The sequence below is a fragment of the Homo sapiens genome, chromosome 2, assembly GCF_000001405.40.
Source record: "Homo sapiens chromosome 2, GRCh38.p14 Primary Assembly".
In the NCBI taxonomy this organism is placed as follows: Eukaryota; Metazoa; Chordata; class Mammalia; order Primates; family Hominidae; genus Homo; species Homo sapiens.
The window spans coordinates 36719466-36740999 of NC_000002.12; the positions used below are offsets into that span (position 1 = coordinate 36719466).

General features: G+C 41.4%; 1 protein-coding gene and 1 long non-coding RNA gene across 14 annotated transcripts in view, besides 1 other annotated feature; one reads left to right on the forward strand and one right to left on the reverse strand.

Annotated features, from left to right (window-relative positions):
* Positions 1–21534, reverse strand: part of LOC124905990 (uncharacterized) — a 118030-nt gene that overhangs the window by 30057 nt on the left and 66439 nt on the right. The gene's annotated exons all lie outside the window — the stretch shown is intronic.
* The window catches only part of VIT (vitrin), a 118088-nt gene that overhangs the window by 22759 nt on the left and 73795 nt on the right, over positions 1–21534 (forward strand). For 12 of the 13 annotated variants that reach the window (NM_053276.4, NM_001177969.2, NM_001177970.2 and 9 more), the window contains exon 3: positions 9961–10026. In NM_053276.4, the coding sequence (NP_444506.2) occupies positions 9961–10026 (66 nt within the window). Of the gene's footprint in view, positions 1–9960; positions 10027–19778; positions 20103–21534 lie in introns of those variants that run through there. The other variant, XM_017004327.2, reaches the window with a different exon arrangement.
* Positions 17646–18341: an enhancer, noted in NCBI's record as "OCT4-NANOG hESC enhancer chr2:36964254-36964949 (GRCh37/hg19 assembly coordinates)". NCBI's record gives its function as "activates a minimal SCP1, AML or CMV promoter by ChIP-STARR-seq in naive H9 embryonic stem cells {active_cell/tissue: H9 hESC(naive)}" and the evidence as "EXISTENCE:reporter gene assay evidence [ECO:0000049][PMID:30033119]".

Here is a 21534-nt window from a genome sequence, read left to right on the forward strand (position 1 = left end):
AAATGAATTCAGTAAAGTTATAGAATACAAAATCAACATACAAAAATCTGTAGCACCTCTATACACTAACAATGAACTATCTGAAAAAGAAACAATCTCATTTACGATAGTATCAAAAAAAAACTACTTAGGAATAAATTTAACCATAGAAGTGAAAGATCTGTGCATTGAAAATTATAAAACGTTGATGAGGCCAGGCACAGTGGCTCACACCTGTAATCCCAGCACCTTGCGTGGCGGAAGTAGGCAGATCACTTGAGCCCAGGAGTTTGAGACCAGCTTGCAAAGCATGGAGAAACCCTGTATCTACCAATAAATTTTAAAAATTATCCAGGTGTGGTGGCATGTGACTGTAGTCCTAGCTACTGGGGAGTCTGAGGTGGGAAGATCACCTGAGCTCAGGGAGATTGAGGCTATAGTGAGCCATGATCATGCCACTGCACTCCAGCGTGGGTGACAGAGTGAGGCCCTGACTCACACACACACACAAAAAGATGCAGAAAATTAAAGAAGACATACATAAATGGAAAGATATTCCATGTTCATGGATTGGAAGAATTAATATTGTTAAAATGCCTATACTATCCAAAGCAAGCTACAGATTCTTCAGTGCAATCCTCAGTGCAATCCCTATTGAAATTCCGATGGCATTTTTCACAGAAATTTGGAAAAAAAATTCTAAATTCATATGGAAACAGAAAAGATTCCAAAAGGCCAAAGCAATCCTGAGCAAAAAGAACAAAGGTGGAGGCATCAAATACCCAACATCCAAATACACTACAAAGCTATAGTAATCAAAACAGCATGGTACTGGCATAAAACCAGACATATAAACCCATGAAACAAAATAAAGAGCCCAGAAAGAAACCCACACATTTATAGTTAACTGATTTTTAACAAAGGTGACAAGAACACACAATGGGGAAAGAACAATCTCTTCAATAAGTGTTATTGGGAAAATAATATATCCACACGCAGAAGAATGTAATTGGGCCCTTAGCTCACACTGTACATATACAATGGAATATTATTCTGCCTTAAAAAAAAGAAATCCTGTCATTTACAATGTAAGTGTACCAAAGGATGTTATACTAAGTGAAATAAACCAGGCACAGAAAGACAAATACTGTATGATTTCATTTACATACTGTATCGAATCTACAAAAGCCAAACTGATGGAAGCAGAACGTAGAACAATGGTTTCCAGGGGCTGGGGAGCCAGGGAAATAGGGAGATGCTGGTCAAAGAGTACAGACTTTCAGGCCAGAAGTAGTGGCTCATGCCTGTAATCCCAGCACTTTGGGAGGCCAAGGTGGGTGGATCACCTGAGGTCAGGAGTTCGAGATCAGCCTGGCCAACATGGCAAAATCCCCATCTCTACTAAAAATATAAAAATTAGCCAGGTATGGTAGCGGGCACCTGTAATCTAAGCTACTTGGGAGGCTGAGGCAAGAGAATTGCTGGAACCCAGGAGGCAGAGCTCGCAGTGAGCTGAGATTGCGCCTTTACACTCCAGCCCGGGCAACAACAGCGAGACTCCATCTCAAAAAAAAAAAAAGGTACAAACTTTCAGTTATAAGATGAATATGTTCTGGTGATCTAATGTACAGCACAGTGACTACAGCTTATAAAACCGCATTGTTTACTTGAAATTTGCTAAGAGAGTAGAGTTAAAATGTACTCACCACACACATAAAAATTGTTAAGTATGTGAGGTGATGGCTATGTTAATTAGCTTGATTTAATCATTTCACAACGTACACATATATCAAAACATCATAAATATAGACAATTTTTATTTGTCAATTATACCTTAATGAAGCTGGGGGGAATAATAAATCACTCTATTAATGAAAAACAAGGAAGCTTGCGTTCACATAGTCCCCTCTCCAGGTCCTCATGTGTCTGCCTCCCTGCCATCTCTCTCCTCTGCTCACATGTCTCCACCTCAGGGCCATTTGCTTAAGTCCCCCTACCCCTCCTCTGGGTGCTGTGATGGCTTCCCTGCCCCAAATCCTTACGCCTTTACCTCATTTTCCACCATACCCCTATTAATCTCTTAAAGCCCACATCTGACCTCCACTCTTGCTCTCCATGCAAACTCAGTGTTTTCCCTTTGCCTTTAGGATGCAGCGCAAGTTTCTTCAAGTGTCTTGCTTGTGGAGCCTTCCTGATATGGCTCTTGCTCTCCTCCCCTGCTCTTGTCACTCACCGTAGCCCCCACTCCGGCACTGAACTTCTGATTTCCCTGGGGAATGCATCATTTCTCACCTACAAGCCTTTGAACATGCCTTCCTGGAATGCTCTTCCTCTCACTTCCTCCCACCAACCATGCTATCCTCCAGGAAGCTTCCCTCCACCCCCTTTAGGTTGGGCCATCTTCCTAAGCACTTCCTTGGTGTCCTGTGTTTATTCTCACCATAGCTGCAAGATATTGACCTTGTCATTTTTCTGGGTCTCCAAAATCTGTTAACTCACTAAGGGTGGGAGCTGTGTCGTGCTCAGTGTTGTATCTCTAGTGCTGACCACATATCATAGGCACTCAATAAATATTTCTAAACAAATAATTGTCCTTAAGGACGCTGGATTTTTAAGGTATCGGAGCCATCCAAGGATCCCTCAAAAGCTCTCTAAATTAATGTCAATTAAGTGTTTAATGTGTTTAATTAATATATTTAAGAGGTAGCATGCTTGCTTTAGATATGTTTCAATGCATGATAGAGCAGAGTTTTATACTGCTCATTGTCATTGGAGTATTGTTTATAATCCACGTGTGTACTGACAGGGAGCAAGTGGAGTAAAGAGGCCGACACTGTAGCCAGCAAACTCGCATTCTGGTTCCAACTTCTTCCCCCAAACGACTGCAGCATTAGCCAAGGGGTTAAAACCGGCTCTGGTTTCCTTTCTATAAAATAAAGGATGACCTCCAAAGCTCCTCCTAGCTTTAAATATCCTATGATTTGAAGCATAATTTTATGATTTATGTGATTGTAGAGAATAAGCTGTCATGGCTTTGCTATGAAGTTCTGATTTATTTGATGCTAAATGTTTCATTGAGTATATAATCCTAAATTAAAGCATCAGGGAAACCTGAACTATGTTTAAAGGATCTGCTTTATAAATTGGTTTTCAAGAAGGCATTGTGGATACTATCTATGTTAGCAAACTGAGGTTCTCCAAAAAGATCTAACAGGAAGTTTATGGGCTAGAATGAGGCATGCTTATAAAAGTTCTAGGTACACAAATATGCAGTAAGTACCTACTGATTTGATTATTGATTAGATGTTCTGGTATTTCATGTCTTTTCTTGAACATAATGTGGATTCTGATTATAATTCATTACTGACAGGAAAACTGGAAAACATGAGCACAGATTAATCATGCCAATAATTTTAGAAAGCAATTTTCATTATTATAAATCTATATGATTTCAGTATGACCAGATTAAAAAATAATTGTTTTTTGTAATTATATCAATTTATCATTTATATAAGATTCTAATTTTATAAATTATGTCTATATAAAATATATATTTTATATTAAATACAAATGTAAAAGGGGAAAATACAGAAAACATAAAATGGAAATAATAATTCCTCCATTATTAACATGTTAGTATATTTGTTCCAGTTATTTATCTGCATATATTTTAACCTTGTCAGAGTCATTCTTAAGGTTAGAGCTGAACACTTCACAGGTAATTTAATAATCTACTACACACCATTTGTAATAAATGCCTAGGATTTCCTATTGTTGGCGTGTTTTCAACATTTTATGATTTCCAGATCCATTAGAAATAATGCTCTAATGAGCATTTTTTTACATAAATCTTTGTCTATACCTCTGATTATAACTTGGGATATATTCCTAGGAGTTTGTTTTCTAGGTCAAAGAATATAAAAGTTTTTAAGGCTCTTGAAATTGCTTTCCAGAATGGCCCTGCCTGCTTATACTTCACCAACAGTGTTCAGGGAAGCCCTAATCTCAAATCCCTGCCAGGATTAAATATAATTTTATGTTCCATATTTACTAGCATGATACAGGAAAACACCCCCTCATTTTGCTTTAGCTTGCATTTTTAACATTAAAAAGATTAAACATAGTTTCAAGCTTATTCATTTATATTTTCTCTATGCATTAAACAATAAATTTTAAAAATCAATATTTTAACTGTCCTGATTGTCACATCAGAGAGGGAGAAAGTGAAGTGGGAGAAATTTTTTTCTGAAAGAGAAATTTTAGTATTTAATATGCTTCAACATTTCAGGCACTACTAAAGAAAGAAAAGACAGCCTGGGTAACATAGTGAGGCTCTGTCTCTATAAAAAATAAAAAAGTAGCCAGGCACGGTGGCACACGTCTGTAAGCCCAACTGTTTGGGAGGTTGAGGCAGGAGGATCCCTTGAGCCCAGGAGTTCAAGGTAGCAGTACGCTGTGATCATACCACTGCATTCTAGCCTGGGCAAGATAAGAAAAGAAAAGAAAGAAAAGAAAAGAAAAGAGAGGGGAGGGGAGGGGGGGGATTATTTATGTTATTCAAAACTGAAACACTGGAATTTTTTTTTTTTTTCCCACAGAATTTCACTCTTGTTGCCCAGGCTGGAGTGCAGTGGTGCGATCTCGGCTCATTGCAACCTCCACCTTCTGGTTTCAAGTGATTCTCCTACCTCAGCCTCCCGAGTAGCTGGGATTACAGGCGCCAGCCACCATGCCTGGCTAATTTTTGTATTTTTAGTAGAGACGGGGTTTCACCATGTTGGCCAGAGAACACTGGATTTTTAAGGACTGAGAAGCATTGCTGAGAAGCATTGCTGCATGATTGCCTTGGAATTTGGGGTTCCAGACTTAACTCTCTTCAAGTTTTCTTGACCTGCATGGCCTCCATTGCCAACTACCCTCACCCAGGGACTGGCTCTCAGACCTGTCTGCGGCTTTGCACTTTGAAGTGGGCATCAGCCATCCATTCTGGTGCTCTGCTAGGCGTCCTAGGAAAACGAACACAAGACTGATTTTTCTCTTCCCCAACTTCAACATGCAATTTACCATTTCCAGTGTAGCAAGAGGGGGATTGCTGGGGAGGAGTGAAGACTTTCTCCAGGGCACAAGCACATTTGCAGACCAGCTGTCCCCTGGAGGAATGGTTTCTGAGGAGCTTTAATTATAATCACAGAAGCTGAGGGGAGGGCCTATTTGTGCCATCGAAGATAATGACTTTATTAATTACTGCTGTTCAACTGAACCCAGCTATGCATGTTTTCAGCCTAAAAGGTCTTGGGCAACCAAAAGCAAATGATGGGGTGTTCTTACTAAAATATTTATAGTCCTAATGATACCAGGACTTATAAGCCACTTGCCTCAGGCACAGAGGCCAAGAACAGTTTTTGGTTTTCCACAAAAATTGAAACCCAAATTTATTATTTCACTTACTCCCTCTCCTTGCTCATTTTCTTTCTATGTATGTATTTAGTGCTTGTTTTAAAAATATTATAGGATTATAGATATTTATTTTTGAGCATTAAGTGAAAACATGGTCTTTGCACAGTTAATTGACAAGAGGCTACTATAAAAATTAGACCTCCGGGACACTCACACCCACTCAAACCCCAGAAGTAAATACACCTAAAAAATGTCTGCCTTCATTCTGCCTGGCTAGACTTCTGGTTCTCACTCAGTTCTCTTTCATGTTTCTGTTCTCCTAGGATATGGTACGTCAATTACTCAGGCCTCAGCTAGTGCTAACAGTCAGAATTGGAGATAATTCAATGGCCACATCATTGGCACAGGTTAGCTAGTGTCTTAGTTCATGCAGTCTGCTATACAAAACTGCTATAGACTGAGTGGCTTAGAAAAACAGAAGTTTATTTCTAACCGTTGTGGAGGCTGGGGAGTCCAAGATCAGGGTGCTGATGGATTCAGAGTCTGGTCAGGGTCAGCTTCCTGGTTCCTAGAGAGGCATCTTTTTGCTGTGTCCTCACATGACAGAAGAGGCAAACTAGCTCTCTGGGGCCCCTTTTATAAGGGCACTTGTCCCATCATGAGGGCTCACTGTCAAGACCTGTGACCTCCCAAAGGCTCCACTTTCTAATATCATCACACTGGGGGTTAGGATGTCAATGTAGGAATTCTAGTTGAGGGGTGGGGGGGGGGTGGGTAAACAAACATTGAGACCACAGTAGCTGAATAATCATAAGATAAATAAAAAGTTTTTTTAAACACTTGGTGGCATTGCCACGTTTTTCTTCAAAAATAATTGCCAATCCAAGAACTCCTAAGTCCATTTATACCTAAATTGATGATCTGTGTTCAGTTAAAAACAAACACACCCGCCGGGCACAGTGGCTCACGCCTGTAATCCCAGCACTTTGAGAGGCCGGGGCAGGAGGATCGCCTGAGGTCAGGAGTTCAAGACCAGCCTGGCCAACATGGTGAAACCCCGTCTCTGGTAATATACAAAAATTAGCCAGGCATGTTGGTGTCCACCTATAATCCCAGCTATTCAGGAAGCTGGGTCAGGAGAATCGCTTGAACAGGAGGCGGAGGTTGCAGTGAGTCGAGACTGCACTACTACAATCCAGCCTGGGTGACAGAGCGAGACTCTGTCTCAAAAAAAAAAAAAAAATGCTATCAGAAATTTTCACAATATGTATCAAAATTTTAAGTGAGCATACATTTCAGACAAGAAATTCTATTTGGAAATTTATTTTAAGGAAATAATGGATCGATGCAAAGATTACACTATTTATATTAAATCAAAGTTTGGTTAAGTTATGATACATCCATATAGTGCAATACTTTGAAGGCAATTAAAATTACTGTAGAAAGAACATTTAATGACATGAAAAAATGTCGATATAGATCATTAAGTAGAAATAAGTTATTGAACATTGTAAAAAACATGAGGGATCAAATGTTTGTTTAAAAGTATTCACATGAATACCTGTATACATATAGAAAAAGACTGGAAAATATTATACTTTTGTATTCATCCACATTTGTGTTGTTTACGTTTTTCTACAAAGAACATGATTTTTTTCAATAATAAAAACAGCCAACATTCACTTTTTAATGAATGGAGAGAATATATAAAAAGCCTCAGGCCGGGTGTGGTGGCTCATGCCGAGGCAGGTGGATCACCTGAGGTCAGGAGTTCGAGACTAGCCTGGCCAACATGGAGAAAACCCCATCTCTACTAAAAATACAAAAATTAGCCAGGTGTGGTGACGGGCGCCTGTAAGCCCAGCTACTCAGGAGGCTGAGGTAGGAGAATCACTTGAACCCGGGAGGCGGAGTTTGCAGTGGGCCGAAATCACACTACTGCACTCCGGCATGGGCAACAGAGTGGGACTCTGTCTCAAAAAAAAAAAAAAAAAAAAAAAAACAAAACCTCAGAAGAGAGGCTGTCTGGGAAAGAAAGGCAAGGAGAAAGGGGGTGGGGAGAAGAAGGAGACTCATCACGAGGTCTGAGAAAGCTCTATTTCATCTTATGTGCTTGAAAAGGAACCAGACTTTAAATTAGAAAGGATACAGAATTCTCCCTTCTTCACCTATTGATATACTTGAAGGAGAGTGGTGTCCAAATGCTATCGGAGGTTCTGCTCCTGTTTCTAAGGAGGAAGCTCAACTATCTGCAGTTGCCTCGATGGGACACAGAACCAGGGCTGCCAGGGAACCCGGAGGGAATACTCAGGTCACTTCTCAGACATTGTGATGAGTGTCCTTCTTCTCCCTAGCCCCTTTCTCCGTGCCTTTCTTTCCCAGACAGCCTCTCTTCTGAGGCTTTTTTTATGTTCCCTGCATTCAGCCTTCCCTCAGGCACACTCGTATGCACACACACATGGGTGCACACAATAGGTGCACACACATATAGCGTGCACGCACATAGATGCACACACATGCACATGCAGTTCTCTGGCTATTTGGAGATTGGCCATCTGGAAACCTGCTGTGGAAGGGAAGACAGAGTACAGGAAGGGCCAGGGTGCTCATCCCACCTCCATCATTAATTCATGGGATGAGACAAATTAGTGGACTTCTCCAGACCCACATTCCTTCCTCTGGAAAATGGAGATTTGTCAGGTTGGTGTGGTCAAATTTAAACACAGCAAAACAAAGGACAAGTATCCAAGAGGTGCCTTTCAAGGGACCTTTCAGCAGGGGCTGAGAAAAGTATACAAACTAGACATCTCTTTTCTCCAATCTTAATACAGTCATCCACTTCATAACAATGTCTCAGTCAACAGCCGCCTGTAAGATTGTAATGGAGATGAAAAATTCCTATTGCCTAGTGACATTGTAGCCACTGATGTAGTATAACACATTACTCACATGTGTGTGGTGATGTTGTGTAAACAAGCCTACTGAGCCGCCAGCTGCCAAATAAATGTATAGCACATACCATCATGTACAGTACATAATACTTGATAATGATTACTTGATAACAAGTAACAACTATGTTGCTGGCGTGTGTGTTTTCTTTTTTTTGAGATGAAGTCTCACTCTGTCGCCCAGGCTGGGGTGCAGTGGTGTGATCTCGGCTCACTGCAATTTCTGCCTCCTGGGTTCAAGCGATTCTCCTGCCTCAGCCTCCCAAGTAGCTGGAATTACAGGCGTGTGCCACCACTCCCAGCTAATATTTTTGTATTTTTAGTAGAGACAGGGTTTCACCATGTTGGCCACACTCGTCTCAAACTCCTGACCTCAGGCGATCCACCCACCCCTGCCTCCCAAAGTGCTGGGATTACAGGCGTGAGCCACCACGTCCAGCCTGTATTTTCTATCCTATATTTTTATCATTATTTTAGAGTATACTCCTTCACTTACTTAAAAAAAAGTTATAACATTTAACCAAAAGATTTTAAAAGTAAAAAATTTTAAAATCTCAAAAATAGAAAAAAGCTTATGGAATAAGGATATAAGGAAAGACAATATTTTTGTACAGCTGTAAAATGTGTATGTTTTAAGCTAAGCGTTATTACAAAAGAGTCAAACAGTTAAAAAATTAAAAAGTTTATAAGGTGAAAAAGATACAGTAAGCTAAGATTAATATTATATTAAAGAAAAAATATTGGCCGGGCGCGGTGGCTCACGCCTGTAATCCCAGCACTTTGGGAGGCCGAGGCGGGCGGATCACGAGGTCAGGAGATCGAGACCATCCCGGCTAAAACGGTGAAACCCCGTCTCTACTAAAAATACAAAAAATTAGCCGGGCGTAGTGGCGGGCGCCTGTAGTCCCAGCTACTTGGGAGGCTGAGGCAGGAGAATGGCGTGAACCCGGGAGGCGGAGCTTGCAGTGAGCCGAGATCCCGCCACTGCACTCCAGCCTGGGCGACAGAGCAAGACTCCGTCTCAAAAAAAAAAAAAAAAAGAAAAAAGAAAAAATATTTTTTATAAATTTAGTGTAGATGACGTATACAGTGGTTATAAAATCTACGGCTTTGTACAGTAATATCCTAGGCCTTCACACTCACTCACCCCTCACTCACTGACTCACCCAGAGCAACTTCCAGTCCCGCAAGCTCCATTCATGCTAAGTGTCCTCTAAAGGTGTACCACTTTTTATCTTTTATACTGTATTTTTACTATACCTTTTTTATGTTTAGATATATTTCGATACATAAATATTTATCAGTTGTTAACAATTGTTTACAGTATTCAGTACAGTAACATGCTGTACAGGTTTTTGACCTAAGAGGCAATAGACCATATCATACAGCCTAGGTTTGTAGTAGACCATCTAGGTTTGTGTAAGTACACTCTACAATATCGGCACAATGATGAAATCACCTGTTGACACATTTTTCAGAGAGTAGCCCCATCATTAAGTGATGCATGACTGTAAGAGGGAAAATTAGTTCTGCCATGGAGAATACTTTGTGGATGATCGAAGCAAGTATGAGTCAAAAGAGAAAGAATTTAAGTAAAATAAAATTGATTAAATTTTTAAAAATTTTCTTCATGTAGTTTTGCTGGTGACTGGAGTACATTCAAACAAAGAAACGGCAAAGAAGATTAAAAGGCCCAAGTTCAGTAAGTAAAATCACAATTCCTTGCTGGCATAATGCTTGTTTCTCCCACATGGAGGGTTATTATACTTGTTTTAGGTAATTTTTGTTTTGGTTTGGTTTTTATCTCTATGTCAATTAATTTCCACTCAGATTAATTAGTGATAAGTCTTATCCCCTACCACATTCCAAAAAGTATTTGAGATAGGAGCCCTGACTTTAGGGTAAAGGATATGTAGTTCCCCTGCACTAGGAAAACTCAAAATGCACATACAAAGACCAGGCAACAGTATGTCTCTATGGCTAAGCGGAAAAAGCTTAGCCCTGACATTGAAATGTTGTCTCAATTCCCCATACCAGAAAACTTATTTTGGCTAATGCAAAGGTCTAGCAAAACTGCCCACCTTCCAACAGACCCTGGGAGCAGAAGGCAAATCTCGCAAAAAAGCCCATGCAATTTCACACCCAATCAATGGAAGGAGAAAAAATAAATTTCACTTTTGAGTGGTGTATCAGTTAAGATTAGATGACAGAAAATCTGGAATAAGGCCAGCGACGGTGGCTTATGCCTGTAATCCCAGCACTTTGAGAGGCTGAGGCGGGCGGATCACTTGAAGTCAGGAGTTCGAGACCAGCCTGGCCAACGTGGTGTCTTTATTAAAAATTCAAAAATTAGCCAGGCCTGATGGCGCATGCCTGTAATCCCAGCCATTAGGGAGGCTGAGGCACGAGAATCACTTGAACCTGGGAGATGCAGATTGCAGTGAGCCCAGATCATACCACTGAACTCCAGCCTGGGCCACAGAGTGAGACTGTGTGGAAAAAAAAAAAAACAGGGGGAAAAAAAAGAAAATCTGGAATAATAGATGTTTACTTAAGACTGCAGTTTCTTTCTCTCTCCTGGTCTTGGCTTTTATGGAAGTTCCACAATCTCCAGGGACCCAGACTTCTGTCTTCTAATTCTGCCATTTTCCATGCGGCTCCCAATTCATTGCCCAAAATGGCTGCCCCAGCTCCATCCATCATGTCCACATTCCAGTCAGTAGGAAGGGATGAAGAAGGGCACATAATAGGGATGCAGGATTTTTCTTCTCAGTCATTTTGCAAGCCAGGGAACCCCAGCCGGTGGTGCCTCACCTGGGCCTTGCTCGGCCACATTGGCATGCCCCAGCTCACCTGTGTTATAGCTTATACTCATGTTCAGCAGTTCCTGAGCTCTTGTACCATGCCCAAGAAGAATGAGGATAAGCTGGACATTGAAGGGTGAGGAGGGCTGAGACGAATTTTATCGAGTGAGGGAACAACTCTCAGCAGAGAGGGGACATGAGGGGTGGTTCCCCTACCCAAAGGCGTGAAAGTCCCTAATGTGGCTGAGTCTGAGGACTTTTACGGACTCAGAATGGGGAGTACGTGCTGATTGGTTTGCGAGTATGCAAAAAAGTTTACAGCAAAGACACCACTCAAAGGTGGGCATGACAGTGTAGAAAACCAATTAGGAAAAGGGTAGGTATATGTAAAATAGGTGAAGGGTGGGGATCCATCAGAGGAAAGCGCACCAAACAGGAAGACAGGTTCTCAGTCCAGTCTGAGGATTTAACTTGTAGCTTGCCTTTCAGGCTTTAAACTGTCTTCTGCTTGGAGGTGGGGCTTCACCAGGGACCCACCCCTATCTGCCTAGGCATTTGGCTGCCTCCTACCGCTCTCAATAGCTCCCTTTAAAGCTACATCCAGAAAGTTCAGTAGAACCCCTCTCTTTAAGTACTACTGGCCAGCAGTAAGGCAGAGTGGGAAATGTCTTCATTTTTATTTTATTTTATTTTATTTTTGAGATGGAGTCTCACTCTGTCGCCAGGCTGGAGTGCAGTGGCGCAATCTCGGCTAACTGCGACCTCCACCTCCCGGGTTCAAGTGATTCTTCTGCCTCAGCCTCCCAAGTAGCTGGGACTACAGGCGCCCGCCACCACACCCGGCTAATTTTTTGTATTTTTAGTAGAAACGGGGTTTCACCATGTTGGCCAGGATGGTCTCGATCTCCTGACCTCATGATCCACCTGCCTTGGCCTCACAAAGTGCTGGGATTACAGGCGTGAGCCACCGCAACCGGCCATGTCTTGATTTTAAACATCCACGTCCCTTGCTAAAAGTAAGGGCTATTATTACTATGAAAAAAAAGAAGAATTGATATTGGGAAATCACTCACAAAAGAAGACACAGATGGAAAACTCACACTCAAATATTGTAAGCACACTGGGATATCTGTATCCAAATTTGTAGGCTTGATGGAAGCTTAAGTTAAAGTGTGTTTATAAAGAACCATAAAAAAGGCTTTAGATGCAGTCAACATTCTGTGCTCTCCACAACTGAAACTTTCTTATAGGCATTAAATTTAGGTACCTTGAAATCAGCCACATTAATCATTTGAAATAAAAGAAAGATTTGCTTCACACAGCCTCCTTTTTTCTTCTGCTCTTTTAAACCTTCCATGTGAGATTTCCTGTTGAAATGAGACCAAAAGGGCAACCATCCACAGCCTCCTAGGCTGAAATACTAAAAAGGAATCAGTTGTTTATTTATTTCTGTCAGGACCAAGAGCCAAGAGGACCAGCCCTGGGGCAGATGTGTGTTCAAAACAATGATTAGGTTAATATGGAGACAAATGCACGCCCAAGTATGAATTCCTTCGGGCTGTTTCCAGTATCTTCATTAACTCATATACAAAAATCACGAAAGGTTCCATGATTACCATGACAACAGTTTGCAGTGACTATGAAAGTCTGTGCTAAATGACCCAAGGGCAAACCTCTTTGAGAGATCTCAAATGGATTGAATTTCTGATATGCTAAATTCTAGCCTTATTCTCAAAATCTCCCTAGTGATGCAGCGCATTGGAATCAGTAAATGCATGAGGTCTTTTCTCTAATTAGAAACTCTAGCACAATTATTAAATAGGGAAAAAAAGATACAATGAAGGTAATTGGATATTCCCAAAACTCGGAGATATCTGATTCTTGATCTCCAGAGTATTTCCAAATCATAGTCTATAGCTTGAGGCCAAAGTCATTTTCTTTCTTTTTTTTTCTATTCAACACTGTCAGTCTGCTGCTGGGGGAGGTGACTGATGGCAAGGAAGGCACATTATTCACTCATTTGATAAGTATTTATTGTGTGCTGGCCAAGTACCAGGCACTGTTAGACACCCAGAAACAACAGCAACCCAGACTCGATCTATGCCCTCACAGAGCTCACAATCAAAGGTGGAAGAAAGACAAGTCAACAGGCAATGATAATGTCCACATAAGTGCTAGGACAAGAGGAGCTAAAGGTACTCAGAGAGTTAGGAAAAGAAGCTGTGTATCTGGGAGGGCTTCCTGGAGGAAATGACACACACGGATTCTGAAGGCCAAATAGGGATTGGCCAGGCAAAGACGAGGAGAAAAGAGTGTAATAAGCAGAAAGAACACATCATGCCCAAGGCCTGAAGGGTAGAAAAAGCTAAAAAGTAGTTCAACATACAGAAATAGAGAATAGAAGGTGAATGTGTAGAGGAAAAAGATGAAAAGCAAAGAGACACCAGATGGTGAAGAGTTTTACTGCCATGTTCAGGGAATCTGGACTTCTTCGAGAGGGCAATGGGAAGTGTCTTCATGTGGGTTATTTTGGTTGCAATTAGCAGGACTCCAAGGCCAATCTGCTTAAGCAAAAAGGGGGATTTGGGCAGGACGTGGGGTAGCTCACAGAACCCAAGGCAGGAAATACAGCTGTAACTCCCTCCAGCTCCCTCCGGTTGGACTGCAGATGGAAAGGCCTCAGGAACCGGCACCCCTGCTTCTTCTCTCTGTGCATCTCTCTCTTTCTCTCTCTTGCTGTCTCTCTCTCTCCCCCCCTCTCTCTCTCTCCAGACCATGTCTCTCAGTCCTGATCCCAAATTCCTGGGAGAGAGAATCTAATTGCATCAGGCGAGCCTGGCAGGGGTCCACCCTATAAAAGGAGCATGGTCCTCAGAGAATAGTAAAGTGTTAAGGAAGGTTGTGTTAGGGAAATGAAACAATCCTGCCAACATTAACAACAACTCCTTTGTAGCAATATTTGAAGATATGAAGAGAGAAGAGAGAGAACACAACTTGTGAGTAAGCATTACAGATTTACATGCATATACAGATAGTATGAAAGTGTGTACAAAGTCTGGACAGAATTTCACACAACTTTATATAGTAAGTTGGAAGACAGACAATTACAATTTCTCTTGCCGTTCTGGAGGTAAGGGCTTACAGATCGTTACAGAAGGCCGGAGCCCTGGCATTGTAAAATCAAAAGTCTGGCCTCTTATGTCTTACGTCTTTTAGAAAACATCCTAAGAGGACAGGGTGGTGGGGGGCAGTGGCTCTCTCCTCTTCACTAAATAAAAAAAGCTTGATCATCTAACCGTTAGCGTCGATACCTCAAAATATATCTTACAGGATGCTACTGAAGAGTTTTAAACAGAAAGTGAAATGATAAAAGCAGGGCTTTAAACAAATCACTTTAGCTTTAATGTGAGATTGGACTAGGTCAGTGGTTCTCAATGTGTGGCTCCTGGACCGGCAGCATCAGCATCATCCGGGACCTTTCGTCTCACCCAGCCCAGACATCCTGAGTCAAAAACTACAGGGGTGGGCCCAGCAATCTGTGCTTTAACCAGCTCTCCAGGTGATTTGAGGACTTGTAAAATGTGATAACCGGTGGACTAGAGAGAGGACCAAGACAAAGGCGTCTTACAAATATGAATGTGAAATCATTTCAGGTAGGTTCCCTTTAGTGCCCTCTAACCTCTCTTTTAGAAGCTCTCAGTTTTCACCAGTGTTTTTTCAAGACTCACAATCTTCACAACCCAGAAGTCTTAAGTGAAATAACAAGGAGAAGGTAGTTTGGTAGTGTTGGTCAGTGATTAATTTCCTGACCCCTCCTAGGCAGGGGGCACTCTCCTAGACTCTTGAGGATCTAGTGCCTGATGTTTCCCCAGAGGCCTCCTCTCAAGCTGGGTGGGACTAAAGAATGAGGTGTCTGTTGCCTGGTAGCAGATAAGGGTGTTGCATAATCAAAGGCTGACCAAGTAGAAAGTAAAGTAGAAGACGTATGGGAAAAATGGGAGAAGGAGAAGAGCATAACTGTCTTCCTTGGACTTGGCTTGAAAACGCCTGCCATTCCAGTACATCTATTCTGCCTACTCATGGGGTTCCCACTGATTTTGGTAGTTATCTCTTTCTCTCCTCTCTACTTTCCCTTCTTTTTCACTTCTTTGTCTTCTCACCCCTTTTTCCTTCTTTGCATTTCTTTGGTCTGTCCGTGGGCTCCAGTGCCCCCCATGGATGTTACTTAGCACCACTGGTGGGGGGGCCCTTTGGACCAAGAAGGTAATACTTAAGAGCATGTTGAAAATAATCTGGCAGGCTGGGCACGCCTATAATCCCAGCACTTTGGGAGGCCGAGGCAGGTGGATCGCCTGAGGTCAGGAGTTCGAGACCAGCCTGGCCAACATGATGAAACCCCGTCTCTACTAAAAATATAAAAATTTGCCGGGCGTGGTGGCAGGCACCTGTAATCCCAGCTACTTGGGAGGCTGAGGCAGAATTGCTTGAACCTGGGAGGCAGAGGTTGCAGTGAGCCAAGACTGCACCACTGCTCTCCAGCCGGGGCAACAGAGCGAGACTCTGTCTCAAAGAAAAAGAAAAAGAAAAAAAGAAAAAAGAAAATAATCTGGCATGGGGGTCTTACAAAGAAGAAAAACAAAGATATAAAAAAGCAATTGGATGGATTCTCACAGCTCTACTCCACAAACCCATAGGCCCATTCATTCCAAGCTAATATTTTGCTTTTATGTGCTCAGTTGTATTGGATACAATTTTATCCCACCATATTTGGCTTATCACATTATTTTCTAAATCAAATTAAGTCTGACTCCAAACTGCCAATTGCTGGGGTAGGGGGTGGAATTCAAATTCCTTACTTACAAAGATTTCCTCCCTCTCTGCTCCAGCAGAGTGGGCTTGTGCAGTCTAGAAGATTCGGGGTGGTCCCCTCAGCTACTCAGTGTCCAAGTCCATGTTATCTCTAGAAGGTGGGTAACCCCACTGTTTCCTGGATGATGGGATGTTGGCAGAGGTGGGGAAGCCCTGTACCTAAATCTCCACCCCAAGGTGCATCACACCAGATGCTGCCCTGAGGTGGGTGCTTCTCAAAGCAGCTGCTAGGGCAAGGGACATTTCCTTTACTGGAACCTATTTGGCCACTCCCACCTTCCCAGTCTTAGAAGATCATTGTGTCTCCATCACTCTTTGGGCTGAACAAGCCCAATCCCCTGAAACAAGGGGAATTTGGAGAGTCTACTTTTCAAAGCCTGGAGAGAGTGTTGTCTTTGCGACACACTGCCCTCTCTCCTGCAACCTTGAGAACCAGAGGTGGGAAAACATGAGCCTGTCTACCTTCTTAGAATAGTAAGAGGGAAAAAATGCAATGGGAAGAAACGTAAGTTAATGACTTAATAAATTAACGGACTGTTTAATCCAAGGTAAAGTTTACCTTACTGCAGTAATGAGAGTTTTATCACTTTATTTTTAGAGGTGACATTTTCAAGGCTCTCATTTTCCTGATAAGTCTTAGAGCCATAGATCTAACCTTAGCCAGAGGCACCTTAGTGGTAGGTTTAGTCAGCATAAACCTACTCAAGCAGTTTCTAACAGATTACCAAAGTGTGGCTGCATTTTTCTTGATTGTTTAAGGCTACAAATAAAGATTGAAGGGCTTAGGTGTGTTCATAAGACACTTTTCCTAAGGTAGTCATAATACCTTATACATTTTAAGGATTAATTTCATTTATGTGTAGGTTACTCATTCAAAAAAGGCCTACTCTTTAACTTATGAGACTTTCAGTCCATACTGTAATAAACACATCATATATTTTCACATAAATTATGTCCACCAGACTCTAGAACAATTCCTGCCTGGCAAAGTGTCCGTGCTAGAGGGAGAAAAGCTTTTAAGTTGTAAAATCTCATCAATGGCTTTTCACACATAATGAAGCTGCAGAAGAGCCCCAGAAGCAATGGCCTTAGTCCAAAGTGGTGTCAGGTGAGATCACATTATGCAGATGGGAGCCATTGATGATTCCATGCAACGTGTTACTGGCTGCCCATCCTGCAAAGTCTGTGTCCTCAGTAAGCATCAATCTTGTATAAGATGAAACAAAAGTATGTAAAGGAAAGCCTTGCTGGGCCCAATCCCTATCCCCAACACACACTCAGAAGTAGGTTAGAGGCCTCCTGTATGCACTGCACTTTCTCCGTCAAGTACTGATGCTCCTTGACTTACAATGGGGTTGTGTTTTCATAAGTCCATAGTAAGTCACAAATGCATTTAATACCCTGAAAAACCTTTCATAAAGTTGAAAAATCTGAAGTCAAACCATTGTAAATCAGGGACTGTCTGTATTTACCACGTATTACTCTAAGAGCTTTTTTTATACAGTCTATCTTCCCAGCAAGACCAAAAGTACCATGAAGATCCAATTAGTGCTCATTAGGTATGGACAAAGGAACAACAACAAAAGCCACTATAAAATAAAGCAAAATGTGGTAAATTCTATAGGAGAATAACAAACAAGGAGTCTACAATAGGACTCCTATTGGTCTTATGAAAGAACATTCAAGATAAGACCTGAAAAATAAGTGAATTTTTACAGGCAGAGGTTGGGAAAGGGCTTTCTAGGTGGACTAAGCCCACATACCATGGAAAACAAGTGGAGGATGAGGTCAGGAAGCAGTGAAAGGCAAGGTTGGGTTTAAGCACTGAGGAGTCACGGAAATGCAGCTGGAAGGTGGATTAGGACCCACCAGGCAACACCAATCTGAGAAGCTTTTTTTCTTTGTCATTCACTAGAGGGCGGGGACTCCTGAGAGTTTTCTAAGCAGGAAATTTACATGAGGAAGACAACAATCAGTGAGATAAACACGATATTCTCCACAGGCAGTAGAGCTACATTCTGAAATATTTCCATTTACTTTGGAGTCTGTTGAAATAGACTTAATTTGGGGTGAAATGTACAACATGTAGTTCACATAGTTCTCTCCAATGAGTTAATCTTAATACCTTGTAAGGCATGGAAAGATTTTTGCAATCAACCTTGAAAGAGTAGATGATTCCTGAACCTACTGCCTTGGGCATGAAGAGGTCATTGTTCTGGGACTTAGTTACTTAATGCATTGGACACTGATGAAGAGAAATACGACTCCATGGTTGTAAGATTTGGTATAGCATGCACACAGCTTCTTGGGTAGGTTTATGTGTAGCAACTTGTAAGTAATCCCCAGTGTTTCTTGCTTCTTAGACACCTGGCGCCAACACCAGTGGGTTCTCCACACAGATTGGTTTGTGGGCCCTTTCTCAGACCATGAAAAAGGAAGAGGATTAACTTTCTAGCCCTTCTTCTGATATGGGTGAGAAAGAAGGCAGAGACTGTCTGTGTTACAGATTTTCAGTTGAGTAGACTCTACCCTGGCAATTCTCAGAAATAACGGGAAAACAGTACAATGGAAAATTACGCTAGAAGAGTTACTTTGCAGGTATTTGGGGTAAATGCACAGATGCATGCATGTATTCACATAAACACACACACACATGCATACACACAACCTATTTGTAAGATATATACTGCATTCACCCACTAGTGGTTGTCAGCAATCTTCAAGTTCAGAAAAGCCTGTAAGATTAGACTAGAGAAGCTGCAGTTTAACTTCTTCCCTTCAGTCATGGAAGTGGCAACCAGGTGGAGCTGGCAAAGCTTTGGGTTTATAGGCCTGAGTTCAGGTCTTAGTTCTGCCACTTGATATCTGAACAATTGTTCAATTGTTAATTGAACAAATTAACTTGCCTCTCTGAAAAATGAAGACTAATGCCTTTTAGGGTTTTGTAAGGACCAAATGAAAGAACCTATATTAGGGTCCTTTGTAAACTAAAATATGTATTTTTAGAGACACAAACTTCTGCAGCTGCCCCAAAACTGTGTTGCCACAGGCCAGTTACCCTCTGTCATCCAATCACTCCATCCATTCATTTATTCATTCAGCAGACATTCTCTTGAACAGCAGTGAACAAAACAGACAAAAGTCCCTGCCCTCATGAATTTTATATTCTAGTAGATGAATGAAGATGTTAACTGGAACTGGGACCTAAAAGATAGTAACATTCAAACAGATGAAAGGAAAAAGGGTTTCAGAGGTGAGAAATGATTCAAGCTAAGTGTGCGAGACAACATGCATTTAGAAAGTAAAGACTTTATTGGCAAGTATTGGCAAGCCTAGACGTTCCATGGAAGAAACTATGGAATGGCCTTAAGGATTTTGGAATTTTTCCTAATGGCAGCAAAAACCTAGTGGTGGTTTTTGAGCAAAGATTCAATGTGATCAAAGATTGTTTAAGAAAAATGGATAAGAATGCTTTGCAAAAGAGGGTGCTTCAAAGGAAGAATTAAAGTGACCTAGATATCAGGATCAAGGAGAACAATGCATTCATCTTCAAATTAATGATATTTTTATTTCATTAAACTGAGGACTTTTTGCATAATTCTCTTAAAAACAGGATTTTACTCTAGTTGAATATCACAGTGCAACAAAATTAAGTTTAATATTAAAAGTTTTCATACATAAGTGATTTTTTTTATGTTATAATTCTTCTTCATTAAAAAAATAAAAATAATAATTCTTCCTTATTAACAGGCATGAGGCAAGCTTACGATAATTGCTTGTTGATAAGGAAACTTGTTCTCCAGAAGCAATGTGGCTTGCCTGGGATTACTGAAAAGATGAGTGGCAAAATAAGGAATCTGCAGTTTGATTTGGCCTACTACATAATCGGCTTGCTGTATGTGACATCATCTAATAATCACTGTTATTAGCCTAGGCAGGAGACCCAACCAACAGAAGAAATATTTGCAGTTCTTCCTCTCAGATTCCAATTTTGTACTAAAAATTGACTCAAATAGTACCAGTTGTCTGTTCTGAGATGAGACCTTTTGCCCAGGAACCCTTGTGAGATCACTACAGCGGACACATGAACCTCAGTGACCTAAAGGTAATCCTACAGTTCGATCTGGTTTGCAGGTGGTTCTCTTTTCCCTGTGGCTAGTTCCAAGGGCCTTTGGGAAGGAACCCTTGGCAGATACTGAGGTGCTCTAATGTGATTTCTGATACGAAAGTGAGAGCGTCTATGAGAAGGCAAGATTATCTTAAGGAATCATATGAGACGGTGGGTGGGTGGGGTCGCAAAGGGAGAAGCGGAGCAGGTGGCCAAGCAACAGGTTTCTGTGCAAAGGTGCCACTCAAGAGGTCTGGGCTCCCCACGGCTCTCTGTGGCTTTGGTGTGGACTTTCCCTCACGGACGCTAGCAACTGTCCAGTCCGGAAGGAATGGAAGAGGCTTTTGTCTTGCTTTCTTCAAAGGTTCCAGAATAAGTTCTTTTTAGAACTTACAAATAATTTTTCACCTGAGGTTAGCTGTGGGGACACAGCATTCCCCTCTGACTGTTCTGGCATTTGCCAAATGTCTTCCCGCTCCCTTTAGACCTACAACTGATACTTCTTGAGCTGCCTTAATTTTAGCTTATCTTCTTAAGGAAATCCGATTTTCTGCACTTTTAGGATCAAACTCAGAGAAGGGGGAAGGGAGATACGAATAAACCTTAACAACCAAAGAAAGAGGAAGAAAGGAAAACCTAAGCTGCGAGCACTGAATAGTTCAAAGACCTTCAGAGGAAAGGCCAACATCCGTTTCATCTGGGCCTTAAGTGGAGCGGTGGAAGATTCTTTGGCTGTTACAAGAAAACAGACTACCTCACAAATAACTGGGAAAATATTGTAGAGAAACAAACCATAGTTTCCATATACTTAAAGAAGAGCTGCCAGAAAGATGCAAATGCCTGCTTTTTCCTGGCTGAACATAGACATTACACTTTTTAATAATTTTGGCAATCACTCTGCAAAATTTAACTAGTTCACTCTCTCCAGCTTAATTTTCTGTACAAATTTAACAAATTTTTTACCTTTAGCCACACTTTACCGTGGCTCCCTGTTTTTTCAAAGTGCATGAACACACGTGCCTGATTTCATTTTTTTCCCCCGTGGGACAAATTAATGAGTGAATCCACCAATTTTGCTAATCTGGTTAGGTGCAGATAAAGCAGATCTTATTTAAGGTACTTCCCTGACATTTGTAAGGGGAAAAAAAAAGACAAAATAAACAAGCAAACAAAAAACAAGTGCCCCCTTAAAGAAAGGAGGGAAAATTGATTAGCAGGAAGTAAAATGTGACATTTTCCCTTGTCTTTTAAACCAATTATTTCATGGAAGATCTTACTGCATGTAATATGTGCACCCAGAAGTCTTTCAACAGGTTTGATCATTGTCTAATACTCATGAAATAAGCTTCCAGATAGAGACTCGTTTACACAACCCCAAAATATTTAGTTGGTCTGACAGGACATTCAAAATCTCACAGTGCCAGAGTCA